General features: G+C 39.1%; 1 protein-coding gene across 7 annotated transcripts in view; it reads left to right on the top strand.

Moving 5' to 3' along the window:
- The window catches only part of TENM3 (teneurin transmembrane protein 3), a 1355412-nt gene that overhangs the window by 582278 nt on the left and 753643 nt on the right, over positions 1-19491 (top strand). For all 7 annotated transcript variants that reach the window (XM_017008385.2, XM_017008389.2, XM_017008390.2 and 4 more), the window contains exon 4: positions 11774-11853. The gene's annotated coding sequence lies outside the window, so the exon portion shown is untranslated. The remainder of the gene's footprint in view (positions 1-11773; positions 11854-19491) is intronic.

Here is a 19491-nt window from a genome sequence, read left to right on the forward strand (position 1 = left end):
ACATTCTTTATATTGAATAAATATTCAGGTTGGAGAGAGTTAACATGTTTCACATATAACTGAAGTCTTCATTTTTTGGCCGAAAGCACCTTCTGCATGCATCTCTCTCCTTTTTTTCTTTTTTTTTTTTGGTCTGTTGTCCTATGTTCAATCAATGCATCTTTGTTGTTGTTGTTGTTGTTGTTGTTGTATTTTACTTCAATTTACAAGATACATGTGCAGGATGTGCAGGTTTGTTACATAGGTAAACGTGTGCCACAGTGGTTTCCTGCACCTATCAACCCGTTACCTATGTATTTAGCCCAGCATGCATTAGCTATTTTTCCTAATGCTCTCTCTCCCCCCACCCCACCCCATGACAGGCCCCAGTGTTTTGTGTTTCCCTCCCTGTGTTCATGTGTTCTCATTGTTCAGCTCTCACTTATAAGTGAGAACATGCAGTGTTTGGTTTTCTGTCCCTGCATTAGTTTGCTGAGGATAATGGCTTCCAGCTCCATCCCTGTCCTGCAAAAGACATGATGTTGTTCCTTTTCATGACTCCATAGAATTCCATGGTGTATCTGTAAAACATTCTCTTTATCCAGTCTATCATTGATGGACATTTGGGTTGATTCCATGTTTTTGCTATTGGGAAAAGTGCTGCAGTGAACATACCTGTGCATGTATCTTTATAATAGGATGATTTATGTTTCTTTAAGTATATACCCAATAATGGAATTGCTGGGTCAAGTGGTATTTCTGGTTCTAGGTCTTTGAGGAATAGCCACACTGTCTTCCACAATGGTTGAACAAATTTACATTCCCACTGACAGTGTAAAAGCATCTGTTGTTTCCTGACTTTTTAATAATTGCCATCCTGACTAGGTGAGATGCTATCTCATTGTGGTTTTGATATGCATTACTCTAATGATCAGTGACGTTGAGCGTTTTTTTATATGTTTATTGGGCACATAAATATGTGTTCTTTTGATAATTGTCTGTTCATGTCCTTCGCCCACGTTTTAATGGGGTTGTTTGGTTTTTCTTGTAAATTTGTTTAAATTCCTTGTAAATTCTGGGAATTAGACCTTTGTCAGGTGGATATTGCAAAAATTTTCTCCCACTCTGTAGGTTTCCTCTTTGCTCTGATGATAGTTTCTTTTGCTGTGCAGAAGCTCTTTAGTTTAATTAGATTGCATTTGTCAATTTTTGCTTTTGTTGCAATTGCCTTTGACATTTATGTCATGAAATCTTTGCCTATGCCTATGTCCTGAATGGTATTTCCCAGATTTTCTTCTAGGATTTTTATAGTTTTGGGTTTTCCATTTAAGTCTTTAATGCATCTTGAGTTAATTTTTCTATAAGGTGTAAGGAAGGGGTCCAGTATTGATTTTCTGCATATGGCTAGGCAGTTCTCTCAGCACCATTTATTAAATAGGGAATTATTTCTCCATTATTTGTTTTTATCACGTTTGTTGAAAATCAGATGGTTGTAGACATGTGGCCCTATTTCTGAGTTCTCTTTTCTGTTCCTTTGGTCTATGTATCTGTTTTTGTACCAGTACCATGCTGTTTTGGTTACTGTAGCGTTGCAGTGTAGTTTGAAGTCAGGGGCATGATGCTTCCAGCTTTGCTCTTTTTGCTCAAGATTGTCTTGGCTATATGGGGTCTTTTTAGGTTCCACATGAATTTTAAAGTAGTTTTTCTAATTCTGTGAAGAATATCAATGGTAGTTTGATTGGAATAGTATTGAATCTATATATTGCTTTGGGCAGTGTGGCCATTTTCATGATGTTGATTCTTCCTATCCATGAAGATGGAATGTTTTTCCAGTTGTGTGTTTCCTCTCTGATTTCCTTGAGCAGTGTTTTATAGTTCTCCTTGAAGAGGTCCTTTACCTCCCTTGTTAGCTGTATTCCTAGGTATTTTATTCTCTTTGTAGCAATTGTGCATAGGAGTTCATTTATGATTTGGCTCTGTACTTGTATATTGCTGATGTGTAGGAATGCTTGGGATTTTTGCACATTGATTTTGTATCCTGAGACTTTGCTAAAGTTGCTTATTAGCTTAAGAAGCTTTTGGGCTCAGACGATGGGGTTTTCTAGATATAGGATCATGTCATCTGCAAACAGACACAGTTTGACTTCCCCTCTTCCTATCTGAACACCCTTTATTTTTTCTCTTGCCTGATTGCCCTAGGCAGAACTTCCAATACTATGTTGAATAGGAGTGGTGAGAGAGGGTATCCTTGTCTTGTCCCAGTTTTCAAGTGGAATGCTTCCAGCTTTTGCCCATTCAGTATGATGTTGGCTGTGGGTTTGTCATAAATGGCTCTCACTATTTGGAGGTATGTTACTTCAATACCTAGTTTATTGAGTTTTTAATATGAAGGAATGTTGAATTTTATCAAAGGCTTTTTCTACATTTATTGAGATAATCATGTGGTTTTTTGACTTTGGTTCTGTTTATATGATGAATTACATTTATTGATTTGCATATGTTGAACGATCCTTTCATCTGGGGATGAAGCCAACTTGATCATGGTGGATGAGCTTTTTGAAGTGCTGCTGGATTTGGTTTGCCAGTATTTTATGGAGGACTTTTGCATCGATGTTCATCGGGGATATTGGCCTGAAGTTTTTTTGTTGTTGATGTATCTCTGTCAGGTTTTGGTATCAGAATGATGCTGGCCTTATAAAATGCATTTAGGAAGGAGTCTCTCTTTTTCAATTGTTTGGAATAGTTTTAGAGGAAATGGTACCAGCTCCTATTTGTACCTCTGGTAGAATTCAGTTGTAAATCTATCTGGTCCTGGATTTTTATGGTTAATAGACTATTTATTACTGCCTCAATTTGATAACTTGTTATTGGTCTATTCAGGGATTCAACTTCTGCCTGATTCTGTCTTGGGAGGTGTATGTGTCCATGAATTTGTCTGTTTCTTCTAGATTTTCTAGTTTATTTGCATAGAGATGTTTATAGTATTCTCTGATGGTTATATTTCTGTGGGGTCAGTGATGATGTCCCCTTTATCATTTTTTATTGTGTTTGAGTCTTCACTCTTTTCTTCTTTATTAGTCTAGCTAGAGTTCTATCTATTTTATTAATTTTTTCAAAAAAAAAGTCCAGGATTTGTTGATTTTTGAAGGTTTTTTTTTGCATGTCTGTCTCCTTTAGTTCCACTCTAATCTTGATTATTTCTTGTCTTCTGCTAGCTTTGGGGTTTGTTTGTTCTTGGTTCTCTAGTTCTTTTAGTTTTGATGTTTGGATGTTGACTTGAGATCTTTCTAGCTTTTTGATGTGGACATTTAGTGCTATAAATTTCCCTCTTACTACTTCTTTAGCTGCATCCCAGAGATTCTAGTATGTTGTCTCTTTGTTTTCATTGGTTTCAAAGAACTTCTTGATTTCTGCCTTAATTTTGCTATTTACCCAGGAGCCATTCAGGAGCAAGTTGTTCACTTTCCATATAGTTGTGTGGTTTTGAGTGAGTTTCTTAATCTTGAGTTCTAAGTTGATTGTGCTGTGATCTGAGACACTGTTATGATTTCAGTTCTTTTGCATTTGCTGAGGAGTGTTTTACATCCAATTATGTGAAAGATTTTAGGGTGTCATTTGGCACTGAGGAGAATGTATATTCTGTTGTTTTTCGAGGGAGAGTTCTGTAGATATCTATCAGGTCCACTTGATCCAGAGCTGAGTTCAAGTCTTGAATATCTTTGTTACTTTTCTGTCTCAATGATCTGTGTAATATTGACAGTGGGGTGCTAAAGTCTCCCACTATTATTGTGTGGGAGTCTATATCTCTTTGCATGTCTCTAAGAACCTGTTTTATGAAGCTGGGTGCTTTTGTATTGGGTGCATATGTATTTAGGATAATTAGCTCTTCTTGTTGCATTGAACCTTTTACCATTCTGTAATGCCCTTCTTTGTCTTTTTTGATCTTTGTTGGTTTAAAGTCCGTTTTGCCAAAGACTAGGATTGCAGCACTTGCATTTTTCTGCTTTTCATTTGCTTGGTAAATTTTCCTCTATCCCTTTCTTTTAAGCCTATATGTGTCTTTGCCTGTGAGATGGATGTATTAGTCTGTTCTCACACTGCTAATAAAGACACACCCCAGACTGGGTAATGTTTAAAGGAAAGAGGTCAAATGTACTCACAGTTCCACGTGGCTGGGGAGGACTCACAAGTGGTGGAAGGCAAAGGAGAAGCCAAGGCGTGTTGTACATGGCAGCAAGGCAATCATACAAGGGAACTTCCATTTATAAAACCATAAGATCTCATGAGACTTACTACGACAAGAACAGCATGGGGGAGGCCACTCCCATGATTCAATTATCTCTACCTGGCCCCACCCTTAACACACAGTGATTACTACAATTTAAAGTGAGATTTGGGTGGGGACACAGCCAAACCATATCAATAGGTCTCTTGACTACAGCACACTAATGGGTCTTGGCTATATCCAGCTTGCCATTCTGTGTCTTTTACTTGGGGCATTTAGCCCACTTGCATTTAAGGTTAATATTGTTATGTATGAATTTGATCCTGTCATGATGATGCTAGCTGGTTATTTTGCAGATTTGTTGATGTAGTTGCTTCATAGTGTGTCACTGGTCTGTGTACTTCAGTGTATTTTTGTAGTGGCTGGTAAGTTTTTCCATTCCATATTTAGTGCTTCCTTCAGGAGCTCTTGTAAGGCAGGCCTGGTGGTGATGAATTCCCTCGGCATTTGGTTGTCTGGAAAGGTTTTGTTTCTCCTTTGCTTACGAAGCTTAGTTTGGCCAGATATGAAATTTTGGGTTGGAAATTATTTTCTTTAAGAATGTTGAATATCAGCCCCCAATATCTTCCAGCTTGTAGGGTTTCTGCTGAAAGGTCCACTGTTAGTCTAATGGGCTTTCCTTTGTAGGTGACCTGGACTTTCTTTCTGGCTCCCCTTAACATTTTTTCCTTCATTTCAACCTTGGAGAATCTGAGGATTATGTGTCTTGGGGTTGATCTTCTCATGGAATATCTTATTGGGATTCTCTGGATTTCCTGAGTTCAATGTTGGCCTGTCTTGTTAGGTTGGGGAAGTTCTCCTGGGTGATACCCTGAAGTGTGTTTTCCAGCTTGGTTCCATTCTCCCCATCCCTTTCAGGTACCCCAATCAGTCTTAGGTTCAGTCTTTTACATAGTCTCATGGTTCTTGGGGGTTTTGTTCGTTCCTTTTCCAAATGCATCTTTTAACATTGTGAGATATTCTAAACAGTCATTTTGTAAGGTCTCAAATCCCACCATACCTGAAGGTTTGTTTCTATCAGAAATAATTCAAAGTTTGATTTGTTATTTAAATGATTTTTGTCTTACATGTTGAGTCCAAAGTTTAAATTTCATCACTGCTTCTTGACATGCCAGTGAAAGCATGGCAACACAGTTTAAATCAGCAAATTGAGCTTATTATTAAAAATACCAGCAGGATAAACAAATTCGATCAGTGAAGTTGAGAAGTATTTAAGTAATGTTATTGTAATCAGTACAATTAATAGCATTTTTTGGTCTCACTTGCCATTTTAATTGTAGCATTTATCTTCAGAACATGCAACAAACTTCAGTTTTTGAAACATTAGAATTTATGAAAACAGGAATTCTGGAACTCCCTACCAATAGAATTAACAAAACTCTAAAAATTCTGCCTGTTTGACATGCATATGACATTATCTATTGGCTAGTGTCATTAATCTCACCTCCTAAATTTCACTCGAGCCTTTTTAATGTGGGGGTTTTAGATGCTCATTGGCAACTGTTGTATCAGCAGTTCTCTTGCTGCTGCTGTGGCTGTTGAAATAGTTCCCACTAAGCTTTCCGTCCTTTTTCAATCACTTTTCCAAACTGCAGTCAGAGTAATACTCTCAAAACACAAACATGATGACGATGTCTCCTGCTTAAATCCCTCCAAAGGTTTCCATTGTTCTCAGGATGAAAATCAAAATCCTAATATGCCCCACCACACACTGCTTAGTTCAGTCCCTTTGACACCCAACCTCCTGCTACACCACCAAGTCAATGGCTCTGAGCCCCAAAACTGGACTTCTCTCACCTCCTCAAACTCACCATTCTCCCTTCTATCACGGGGTCTTGTGCAGGCTCTCCCTTCCTTCTGGAAGATTCTCCATCCCAGCATCTCACTCTTGCTCCATCCAACCTAGATAAATCCCAACTTCCAGATCTGTTAGAAATGCCACTTCCTCAAGGAGCCTTCACTGGGTCCCTTGGTCCTTCTGTGCTGTGGTCCTACAGCACGTAGTTGTTGTATGTTACAACTGCATCTGTGTGTGATAATCTGATTTTTTTTTTCAAGATGGAGTCTTGCTCTATCGCCCAGGCTGGAGTGCAATGCATGATCTCTGCTTACTGCAACCTCCACCTCCCAGGTTCAAGTGATTCTCCTGCCTCAGCCTCCCAAGTAGCTGGGATTACAGGCGCCCGCCACCATGCCCGGCTAATTTTTGTATTTTTAGTAGAGACGGGTTTTCACCACGTTGGCCAGGCTGGTCTGGAACTCCTGACCTCAGGTGATCCGCCCACCTTGGCATCCCAAAGTGCTAGGATTACAGGCGTGAACCACCGCACCCGGCCGATAATCTAATGTCTGTCTCACTACATGAGGGCAAAGGCTGTGCCTGGCTTTATATCCCCCAAACCCAAAATGACACATAATATGCACAAATCATATTTGCTAAACAATGGAATGAATAAATATTACAAACACTTTTCAAAGAATGTGGCATTTCGATCATCTAGTGTTATCTCTGCAGCATGCAAAGACCACTCGCACACATTTTGGAAACACTTTTTATAGGAACCGCTACTCTTGCTTTCTTCATGTGTTAGTCTAGTGTTAAAATGGCAAGTGAGCCCCTAAAAAAGTTATTAATTTTCCTGATAAAAAAATTACTTAAATACTTCTCAGCCACAACTTTATTAAACTAATTTATCTTGCTGATTTTTTTTATAACAAACTCAATTTACTTTTTGAAATGGTTTTGACAGTCAACAGATCTCAGTGTATTTTTGCCAGCTTATTTCATGGTGTGTTGAAAACTGCCCTAAACTCTTAAACTGTGCCTTCCTCTTGTGTGTTATATACTTTTTAAAAAGTATGAATCTTCCTTATATCCATTTATACTAACAGGATGGAAAAAAATAAAAATAATGGAGTTCTATATAGATGTACTCTCATTCTGTTAAACTGTGAATAATTCATACTCTCTCCCCCTCCAATCCAAACTCCTTTTATTTTTTTTTTTTTGTGACACGGAGTCTCACTCTGTTTCCCAGGCTGGAGTGCAGTGGTGCAATCTCAGCCCACTGCAACCTCCATCTCCTGGGTTCAAGCAATTCTCCTGCCTCGGGCTCCTGAGTAGCTGGGACTTACAGGCATGTGCCACCATGAACAGCTAATTTTTGTATTTTTAGTAGAGACGGGTTTCACCAGGTTGGCCGGGCTGGTCTCAAACCCCTGACCTCAAGTGATCCACCCGCTTCGGCCTCCCAAAGTGCTGGGATTACAGGCGTGAGCCACCATGCCTGGCCAAACTTCTTTATCAAATATATTGTAAGTACAGTTTTAGATTCTTTGGATCATATCACCAAACTTCTATATCAAATGTATTTTCCTAGGAGATAGTTGTTCAGTATCAGCAGAATAAAGTTTAATCATTTATCTGCAGGAGCGAGTTACCACCCCAAGGGCAAGGCAGCAACTTTCTTTGAATTATGTTATTTGTTTGTTTGTATTGGCACATTTAAATGTTGTTTTCATACATTTTTTCCTATGGTGTTTAGCTAGTGAATTTACACAGGAAGCATCGGCATCTTACTGTTATGCTCACTGTGATTTGTTTGAAGGTAAAATTGAAACTTGGTGAGGAGCATAGGACATATTCCTACGTAACGACACTGAGGATTTAAGAAAATTTTTTATTTTTATTTTTAGAGACAGGGTCCCTCTTTGTCACCCAGGCTGGAATGCAGTGGTGCCATCATAGCTCACTGCAGCCTCAAACTCTTAGGCTCAAGCCATCCTCCCACGTTAGCCTCCCAAGTAGCTGGGATTACAGGTGCATGCCACTGTGCCTGGGCCAAATTTTAACTACTCTAATGATAAAACAAACAAACAAACACCTCTCATTATACTTTTTTCTACTTCGCGTGATTTTGCTCAAGTACTTTCAAACACACAACACATTTGTTCCATCCTGTATTGTTCATCTCAAGATAGTCTATGCTAACTGAGAGGTGAGTTGGCTCTAGAAGAATATGACTAGCTTCATTCTGAGTCCAATTTCAAACATCCATTGGCAAAGATTCATTGATAACTTCTTCTTACCAAGCAAGATTCTGTTCCTGGTCTAAAAAGCAATGATTTCCGCTAACTAGGGCAAAATTATTTCATCTTTATTTATAAATATAAATAATTGTAATTTAGGATTTCAAATTATTATTAAATGTATTAGTATTCTTTTAAGTGCTTTACAAATGTTAACTCATTTTATCCACATAACAAACCCCTGAGAAGGTATTTCCTGCCCATTTTAAAGTGGCAGTAATTAAGAATAGACCATTTAAGTGTCTTGCTCAAGGTTATACTGACATAGCTGTTCTGTGGCAGAGTTAGAGTCTGTTCGCAGGCAGTCTGGTTTTAGATCCTGCACTTAAAGCATCTGGCACTTCACCGAGCCTATGACATCCCTGCTGTAGTAGGGCCTACATTGCAACAATTACATGTGGCAAGATCTGCACAGACTTGCGTTCAAGACCAATGCAGAGCTATAGACTTCTTGAATAGCTGCAGGAAGCTAAAATACGTATTTTATTTTATTATGATTATTTTTTTGAGACAGAGTTTCACTCTTGTTGCCCAAGCTGGAATGCAGTGGCGCAATCTTGACTCACTGCAACCTCTGCCTCTCGGGTTCAAGTGATTCTCCTGCCTCAGGCTCCCGAGTAGCTGGGATTATAGGCGCCCGCCACCATGCCTGGCTAATTTTGTATTTTCAGCAGAGATGAGGTTTCTCCATGTTGGCCAGGCTGGTCTCGAACTCCTGACCTTAAGTGATCCACCCGCCCCGGCCTTCCAAAGTGCTGGGATTACAGGAGTGAGCCCCTGCGCCCGGCCATAAAATAACATAGTCTAAAAGATGAAATTCGAATCCAACTTTCTAGAAACCCTAGAACACTGCCTCAAAAATCTTGGGTTTTCAAGAGCCATCTGAGGTCCGGAGCTAAAGTGTTCACTCCACCAATCGCTTTATTTCCAGGACATGGTGGCTCAAACGCCTCAAGATGTTTGAATCCTGTTTTCTTGGTTGAAAGACTTTTAAATTTTTTCTTTCAGTAGGGGAATACTGATCTGTGGGCACGGATTGCCACACACCCCAGTTAAATCACCTTTCCCTGCTCAGGAAACCACTTCCAGCGTCAGGATGTCGCATCTGTTCTCCCACTACCCCTTGATGTTTTGTAGAAAGCCCCTTCATTGGGTTCATCTCTAGCAGTTGTTTGCTGTGCCATGGCAGCACTGGTGCAAAAAGTATGCTTAGGTACACAGCAGCCAGTCTGAAGTAGTGGGAAGCTTTTTAAATAAAAACACCAAGGACATATATGCAGTAACCTACTTCAGGTTCCCACTGTGTGAAAAAATCAGAAGAATTAATGCAAAAGAGAAGACAAACATGAATGATACTATAACATATCTGTAGTGATAGATATGCACATATACATACATACATGACACACACATGCACGAGATAGCCTGGGATAGACGATTGTCACTGATATGATCATGAAGAAAAAAGCCCAGAAAGTAACCTCATTCCCTCCACAGATGCTTTATCTTAGAGCCACTTTCCTGTCCCTGTCTGGTACCTAGCACAATGCTTAAACGAATAAAAAGTGCTCAGCAAACATCAGTTAAATAAATTAATAATTGAAGAAAGAGAAGGAGGAAGTTGGGAAGGGAGGGAGGGAGAAATGGAAACGAAAGGAGAGGAGACGAGGAGGGGACAGGAGGGGATGGAAGGGGAGGGAAGGGGAGAAGAGGGCAGGGGAGGCTGAGGTGAGGCGATAGGAGGGGAGGGGAAGGCAGGGGAGGGGAGGGGAGAAGAGGGCAGGGGAGGGGAGGGCAGAAGAGGGCAGGGGAGGGGAGGGCAGAAGAGGGCAGGGGAGGGGAGGGGAGAAGAGGGCAGGGGAGGGGAGGGCAGAAGAGGGCAGGGGAGGGGAGGGCAGAAGAGGGCAGGGGAGGGGAGGGCAGAAGAGGGCAGGGGAGGGAAGGGGAGAAGAGGGCAGGGGAGGGGAGGGGAGAAGAGGGCAGGGGAGGGGAGGGCAGAAGAGGGCAGGGGAGGGGAGGGGAGAAGAGGGCAGGGGAGGAGAGGGGAGAGGAGAGGAGAGGGAGAAGGAAGGGACAAAGGCAGGAAAGGGCTTAATCAATCAATTGAACACAGTCCGGTTTCCAAAGTCATCTACTCCTTTACTCTTTCCCATATCTTCTGTGCCTTCCTGACTTTCCAGTTTTTTGCAAAGCAAATTCCCACCTTGGGTTATTTCTCAGTTAGTGGCTTACACAGAGTTTCCTGGGAAAATCATGGAAACCTCCCAACAAGGTCTAGAACATACCTATTCTACTCCATCTCCCTAGATTTCTATTTAATCTTTTGTGCTCACCTACTTATAACACCCAATCAGCCTCTCCGGTCCTTGTTCACAGTTTTCAATTTCCCAAGTCACCAATTTCGTTCATGCCACCACACCCTGCCCAGCTTTCTGAAAAACTAGTTTTCTCCCAGTTTCCATTTTTCTGATAATCATATTGATTATCTCTTAGTCAACAAGGTTCAAACCTAAAAGTAATTTCTTACTCCTTCTCTTTGCCTCTCCTAAATCCTCCATGGTTTTTTGTTGTTGTTGTTGTTTGTGTGTTCTTGTGTTCGTTTTTTGTTTCTTAATGTAAGGTGAGGATCAGGGAAAGAAGGGGGACAGAGAAAATGGGACTCACTGTTTGACACTGGAAACTACTCCAAAAGGCTGAATTGCTAAAATGAGAAACTCAAGGCATTGATTTACTTTTGCTGTGACTGTGGTTTAAAATGACTGAGTGACATGCAAAAATAGGAAACTCCTGTATTTTTTTTCTTCAATATTACCAGAAGCAAATATTTGTAAGTTCACACTGTAGTGAAACTAATCCTGGGCTCCAGGAGCACAGCGTAACCTAAGATCTAATTAGAAGAAAGAGAATAAAGATAGTCTATTCCAGGCTATCTCGTGCTGTGTGTGTGTCGTGTATGTATGTGTATGTGTGTGTCTATCCCTACACATACGTTATAGATCTTCAACATAACCTTGATCTAATTCCTATAACATGCCATTGGGATCTGCAACAGGGACAGGTATGGGAGGGCCTTTAAACAAGATAGAAAGGTGTCAGGGCTTAGGTAAATTCTTCAACATTTCACTTTTTGTAATGATAAATAGCCATATAAATTTATTCATTTTAAACTACTGGAAAAAAAGCAAAGACTCTATGTGAACACATAAAATAAAGCTCAGCTTAACACACTGCTTGGGTAGCCTGCAAACATTGTTCCTATGGTTATTTATCATCTTTTCTGTATAACTGTAATAAATCAATACTAATCCCTTGTTATAATACAGCTGATAATTTTCAAAAAGTATTAGAACTAAAATTATTCATATAAACCATCTTATCAAATTTTCTTCCAGTTTATGTGTTTTATTTATTTTATTCTAGATTTCCTGCTCTTCTAAGACACAGTGATTTAGAATTTCTGTTCAAGCAAGAGAACTAAAGACTTCTTTAAAGAAGAGAAGGTAAGTCCCAGGAACCAAAATGTCTCCAGTCTTAGAGGCTTCTTCAAATATGCAGCTGGTTGGTCTTGACAAAATAAGTTACTTTCACGAAGCTACAGTTCACTTTGCAGTCCATTACTTATGCTATTACCCTTCATGAATTAGCTGTAGGTAAATGATTCCAAAAAGTATAATTAATTTGGTTCTCATACTATTTCTACAGGCTTTTCTTTTTCTGGAAAATCAGATGAATGAGGACATTCGAAAGTAAAGAATCTCTGCATTTTGACTAGAGAGAATTTTCTACCAGGATGGGATAGAATGATCACAATGGATTATAGAGTGTGTATGGTGTGGTGTGGTATGTGTGTGTGAGTGCACACACACGTGCTTTCCCCAGTTTGGAAGTGATTTGTTGGGGAGTTCTCTTGTTCTCAGGAAGTCTTAATCCTTTCTGATCAGCACTTACATGTCAACCTTAGAGAATTAAACTTGTACCTGGTTACTTTTTTCTCTCTCCTTGATATAGCTCAATGCGTTTTCTCAAATGGTAACCATGGTCTAGCAATTTAAAGCCTTTGAACCTTGTGAACAGATTCATTTAAAACCATATTCTGAGGGCTTTCCATAAAATGGAAAGTGTCTTCTACCAGGAAGCTACAAAAGAATTTACAAGAGAAAATCTGCTAAGTGTCCCCCTCAGGATGAGTGTACAGTAACATGTCCAGAAGATCCAGTGTCCTAGAGGAAGTCATTCACAAAGGTCCTGACTCTTTGGGCTTAATGGGTTGAACTCTGAATTTCTTTGCTTTCTCCTAGTCGATGCTGTGTTTCTTATTTTAATACAAAATTTAGCAAAAAGTTTTCATGAAGTAAAGGACTTTCTAAATAAATTACAAAATAATTATAAAATACGAATATGTAGGAATGTCGACATTTTTACATCAGAGAAATTGAGTTATACGAGCATATTTCTTTTTGATGCTATTCATTCAAAGACAATATATTAAGTTTTTAAAATGATGTCAGAAGTTTAGAGGGCATGCATACATCTTAACAGTCTATGACAACAACTGTGGTTTTGTCACTGGTACTATTTTGTGTTCAGGTTACTGTATCTGAATTAATTTTCGATCCAAAACAAGTTATCGTGTGTGCGTGTGTGTGTGTGTGTGTGTGTGTGTGTATGAAGCTGACACTAATTCAGTATTGCAAAAAGAGTTTTTTGCTATTCCATTTAAGAAGAGAGAAGATAAGATAGAAGGTCGTCTTTTTTTTTTTAAGAATAAAATTGTGGTGTAATTTTGCGTAAAATAGCAGCAACTACTATTGTTTTATTTTAATATCCATCTCAAGCTCTGCGTTTTTACATTTCCCCTAAGGGCATCTCAGAGAAAGGGGATAAGAGAGAACTTTAATAAGCATTCCTGCGTGCACACATACACATTCTTACATGCCCAGTGAGTAATTAATCAAAATGAAAATAAAACTCTGGAATGAATAGCTAGCTATGTTACGTGCCATCTTCGGTATACAGGGTATCTGTCTTCCGTTGATCTCAATTTAGGTAAAGGTGAGACTTTCACGTTAAGCTAAAACAGTTAATGCAAAGCAGATTTTAATAATTTACCATTGTGTATTTCTTCAGTTATTGTTCTTTTAAGATCCTCTGTAAGAATTTTTGCACTATATTTTGTACAACTGCCTGTAGAAACCAAGACCCTAGAAATGTGCATGCAATATACATGTAACCTAGATAAGTGATGATTTGTCTAAGTTGCTCTGCTGATATTTTCCTCAAATCCTCCTCCTGACTTCTCTTTTCATTCAAATGTGAATCATTACACAAGCATACACTGTGAAAAACCTATCTCTCTGTCTAGTTTTATAATAGACTTCAAATAAATTAAATTTTTAGGATAAATTATTATTGAAGTATCCGGGGAATTGGGTGCACAGTTCTTATTACTAATGGGAGCCACGCACCTAATTTCAGGCACTCTGAGCTGAAATGTAATCAACTGTGTGTTTTCTGCTATAAAAATATAACTCAATATTCAGTGCAAAAGCAATCCTTGGCTCTCCGAAGCCCATTGGCGATGAGATTCCTTCAGGTCTTAGGCATTTCGCCTTAGAAAAAGCGCTCCCTACGAAAGCCACTATAATAAAAACACGCCATCCTCCCCTTGTCTTGTAAGTTCTCTCTCTTCAAATCCTTCTCTTGCCAGTTCGTGAATTCCACTCTTCCCACACTGGAAGCTTCTCTAGGACAAGCAGTTCGTCTTTAATAGCTAATATAGAAACTTGAATGTTATAGTGTTCCTCTGAGATACATATTGAAGGATAAATTTTCCTATGTGATGGTTGCAGCTATGGAGGTAGGCTACTACCTTTAAAATACACATATAAGGATATATCTTGATGAGGAAACAAAAGTTACCATCCACATACCACCAAGCTCTTCCAAAAGCAAGGAGAAGAACGACATGCTTTCTAACCTTGGAAAAGCACAAAAAAAGAAAAGAAAAAAACACACACCAACAAAAAGAAAGGAAAGAACTTCAAAAGAGTTTCTTCAAACTATATGATTTAGGAAGATGTCTTGAGTGTGCCTGTCCTGATTTACAGCAGATCTAGTGGGTATGCTCTTACTGCATACGTTTTAACTAATGCTTTCCAGTGTGATTATGAATACACTTTATATGTCCTAAGGTCACGCAGATATTTTAACTAAGCCTAACAAATACTCAGAAACATGTCTTAAATTAAAATATGACAAAATAATGTTTTCCAAAAAGGGCACTGAGAAGAAAAGATCACACAATTTCCATGGCACAGAATCCTGCTCGTTTACGAGAGGTGGTGAAGAGGATAGAAAACATGTAAAATGTTATGTGGTCTGTTTTCAAAATGGAGAAAAGGAATATCATAAATAATTGAAATCCCCAGATTAGCCAAGGCTATCATTTTTTTGTCAGTAAGCTCCACCCTTTCCCGGGCCTTTATAGAATGGAACTCAAGATTGCAAAGCCTTTGGCTTGAATAAAAATTCTTCTTTCTTTTTCCTGCCGTATTGACCAAAAGGGAAGGGGAAAGGGAAATCAGAGGGCCCACATGATACTCAAGACGGATAGTCCCTCCCTGCCTCAACAGGGATTGGAAGCTGATATATCACTATCTAGCGCATAAGCAAAGAAGTGGACGAGATGAAAGAAACAGCATAAATTAACAATGTCAAAAAACATCATAAGCCTCTCTGATGATTACAAGTATCTCTATGTTTGTTGTCTTGTAGAACAAAAATCAGAATGGCTGACTGCAGATTTGACTTTTCATCTGGATGTTTCGGTGTTTTGCAAACAGCGTTTGGTGCAAGGGAAAAGTTAGAGTTTTAAATCTGTGGGACACGGTGATAATTTTTCACTCTACTTCTTAGTCCTGTCCTTCTGAATGAGCAGGGCCATCTCTGAGCCTGGGTGTGAGGAGTGTGGTTCAATGCCTCCAGACTGTAACTTTCTGAAGTTTTCAGTCTGATTTCAGAGAATCCTGAGGAGGGTCTGTACCCAAGGAAGCGTTCAGGCTGATTGAATGCTTTGATTGTGAATGTTTGGATCTGACTTAGTAGAAGCGAATTTCTAAGTACGATGTCCATGTCTGTATCCTAGCCTCAATTAAAAAAAAAAAAAAAAGATTAAGAGGCTAAATAGATTTTCTTCTTGCTGAAGTACATAACCTACGAAAGAACAGGAACAGAAGACCGAAGTTTAGAAAAAATTCTCCTTTGTTAGGTCATTGCGTTTTTTTAAGGGTGAATTGAAGTTGAATCGCGATTTACTCTACATTGGGAGGTTATAGAGTGAGCAAAATGGACTTGTTGGGGCTGTCCCAAGGATAGTGAAAAAATGGCAGAAATAACTATTTAAGGCAGAGAGGTTGTTGGCAAAGTCACTTTGAAACATGATAAAAAGCACTACTCTGAAGTTTATTATTTCAATTTAGTCTGTGATCAGATACAAAGCATTAACCTCACAGACTTAAAACCTAGGCCGGGCACAGTGGCTCATGCCTGTGGTCCCAGCACTTTGGGAAGCATAGGTGAGACAATCGCTGGAGCCCAGGAGTTTGAGACCATCCGGGTTATAGAGTGAAACCTCATTTCTACAAAAAAATTTAAAAGTAACCAGATATATTGGCATGTGCCTGTAGTCCCAGCTGCTTGGGAGGCCAGGATGGGAGGATCACTTGAGCCCAGGAGGTCGAGGTCACAGTGAACCATCAACAGAAAACAGTCAGGAGAGGAGCAAAGCAAGATGACCAGAGGCAAGGGGACAAAAGCTTCTGTTTATTAACTCAGGAATCAGAGAAAGTATTTCCTAGGGTATTATACAGTTTTTTAAAATATGTGGTACCTTTTTGCTTTCAGTTTTCTAATCAGTAAAAATAAATAGATAAAATGCTACATGAAGTGCCATTTTAAATCATGAAGATAGCATGGGCCTTGGAACTAACTGAATGAGATTCAGATTCTTATTCTGTCACTTTCTAATTCTTACAAATTGGAAATATTATCTTTTTATATCTCAGTTTCTTAATCTGTACAGTAGAAATAATATACCTCCCTACTATTGATTTATGAAGACAAAATTTGATCAATCTACTAAGGTATCTGTAAACTAATGCTCAACAAATTGTGCACTATAAAAGCACCTTTAGGCCAAGCATGGTAATCCCAGCACTTTGGGAGGCTGAGGTGGGAGGATCACTTGAGGTCAGGAGTCTGAGACCAGCCTGGGCAATATAGCAAGACCCCAGCTGTACAAAAAACTAAATAATAATAATAATAATAATAATAATAATAACAACCAGGTGTGGGGGCATGCTGCTATAGACCTAGATACTCGAGAGGCTGAGGCAGGAGGATTGCTTGAGTCCTGGAGGTCAAGGCTGCAGTGAGCCATGATCCTGCCACTGTACTCTAGCCCAGGTGATAAAATGAGGCCCCATGTCTATAAATAAATAAATGAAGATACCTTTGTATATAACACAATAATTTCTGCCTATTACTATTATTTGAGATAATTATTTCAGAAGAGCACCATGTCCTATAGCAGGTTTCTATTTTGAACTTTCAATCCCAAGACTTTTTAGGTAGCGTGCAGATATCGTCAATGTTCTTATAGGCAATGCCAAGAATTTTTCTTTTTTAATGCAGCAGCCACAATTCAAGCATAGCAGATCCTACCTCTCTGATCACACTGCAATAAGATTTAGGGAGGTGCAATGAATGTTGAAAGCTTTACCTCTAGGAAATGTAGCCAATTGCCAGTTTTCTGTTGAAGTCATCTTTCTTGTTAGCTTCTGACTAGAAAGTTCTGCTTTAGGAAAGATTACCAGAGGTAAATATGCCTGATAAATAGGAGGGTTAGAAGGGATGGTCATGTCTAGTTTCAGAGAACTCCACTACTAAAAGGACTGTCATAATTCCACTTGCTGACACTGGCAGGAAACATGGCAAGTATATAGAAAAATCTCCATAAGTATGTGTTAAATGCATGAATAGGCTGGACGCAGTGGCTCATGCCTGTAATCCCAGCACTTTGGGAGGCCGAGGTGGGTGGATTACGAGGTCGGGAGGTCAAGACCATCCTGGCCAACATGGTGAAACCCCGTTTCTACTAAAATACAAAAAATTAGCGGGGCGTGGTGGTGCACACCTGTAGTCTCAGCTACTCAGGAGGCTGAGGCAGGGAAATCACTTGAACCTGGGAGGTGGAGATTGCAGTGAGCCGAGAGTGCACCACTGCGCTCCAGCCTGGTGACAGAACGAGACTCCATCTCAAAAAAAAAAAAAAAAAAAAAATGCATGAATAAATGAACCATTTTCCCGGGAAATAATATAGTAGGCAGCATCTATTCTAGGAGCACAGAGATGGCTTTGAATAACCAACACTGATATTCTTAACGTTGTGTAGAGGCAGCAACTCAGAATTCTCTGACCTTGGCTCTTGGGTTTCAGCATCGTATAAGTGCATCGTACCCCATTCATCTGCTATGTATATGTCTAAACTGAGCCTCATCAGACTATAGGTGCTTTCAGATCTTTTGATTGAAATCCTTTCCAATTATGACGTTATTTATGAGATACAGTTTTCCACAGCTGATTTATCTCTTGCTTTGTGAACCTGACTATATAAGAAATGTCATACCAAATGAGCTCAGTGATCCATGCAGCCCAGTCGATTCCCCGCAGTGGCCCCGAGGAATATTCTACAGGAGTTTGTGGTTGCCATGCAGATATTACCTAAATAAACCTCTTTAATGTGCCCTGATAATTCACCAATAACCTTTTATAATAATTCTCATATAAGAACTCATTTAATCAATGTGAAATAAGCTAAAAGTAAATTTTCATCAGTTCCCCCCACAATTTTAGCAAAGTTCCTTATTGTACAAATTTAGATATTCCAGAGTTCACATGATGATGGATACTAAACTATGATAAAATATGATTAGCCAGAAAATAATTGTTATCTACTAACAAGAGTATATTTTATTTAGTAAGCATTACAAGTATAGGTGTGTATCAAAGTAAAATATGGATTTCATAGATTACTATCTACTTCCATTTTTTTCTTTTCTCGTTTTCCTAAGAATAACACCTCCTTAGTTCACCGATTTTATGTTTACTTAATCCAAACACATAGATATTACCAGATAATCATGCTCTTTGTTGATTTATAACATCTGAACAAGACTAATAGTGATAAATTGTTCAACTACAGCAAATTTTTAGAAGAGTCAGATGTAAAAAAATATTCAATTTGTAAACACAACAAAACTCAGTTGAATTCACAAAGGTGACTTCAATCGAATAGCATGTTCAGGGTAAAGGATATGTTTTTGTACCTCTATAAAGGAAACTTTTTTCTTTTTACATATGTACCATTCAAGTGCCAAAAAAGAAAAATCCCTCTCAGACACTGTTTATTGAAAGAAATTTCATGAGAGCCAATCTCACTTTTCCAGCAGAGCAGCAACCTACCTTTCTAAAAGGAGAGCAGATGATGCTTTTGAAAACACTGCCTGCCTGTTGCAACACACTTATTTAAAAATACTGTGTCTATTATTCCTGAACACTTAAGAGTAAAACCTCATTGTAAATGGTGTTATCACCAGGAATGGTAAGTTGTTTTCATGCAAGAAGTTCAAAATCTGCTCTGATGTGGCCAATTAGAGGAGCTTTCTATAACTCCTTAGGACCAACTAAGGGTACATTTTGTTGTGATGTTTTTAATAGTTGGGTCCTCATATCCTTCTGACCCACATAGCATGGGGGAGTCAGGCAGCAGCTGGTACTTCTCAGAGTCACTCAAGGAGAAACTGGCAATTTGTGTGCTGGCTTCTGTGTGTGTCTCTTTCTATGTCCAGCTATAGATCTACCTATCACCCTTTTTCTCTGTTCAATTACTTACCATTGACACACTTCGTGAACAAAAGTTCTTTGGTTCAAGCATGATCTTAGGGTAGATTTATATAAAGTGCAATAGGCCTTTATCCAAAGAATGAGGTGTGCAAAGAAAACCCTGAATCAGTACTCCCTCTTCTGTATCAGATTTTGACCTTAAGACCTACCTTAGTGTAGCTTGTAGCCAGTTAGAA

The sequence above is a fragment of the Homo sapiens genome, chromosome 4 (assembly GCF_000001405.40).
Source record: "Homo sapiens chromosome 4, GRCh38.p14 Primary Assembly".
NCBI lineage: Eukaryota > Metazoa > Chordata > Mammalia > Primates > Hominidae > Homo > Homo sapiens.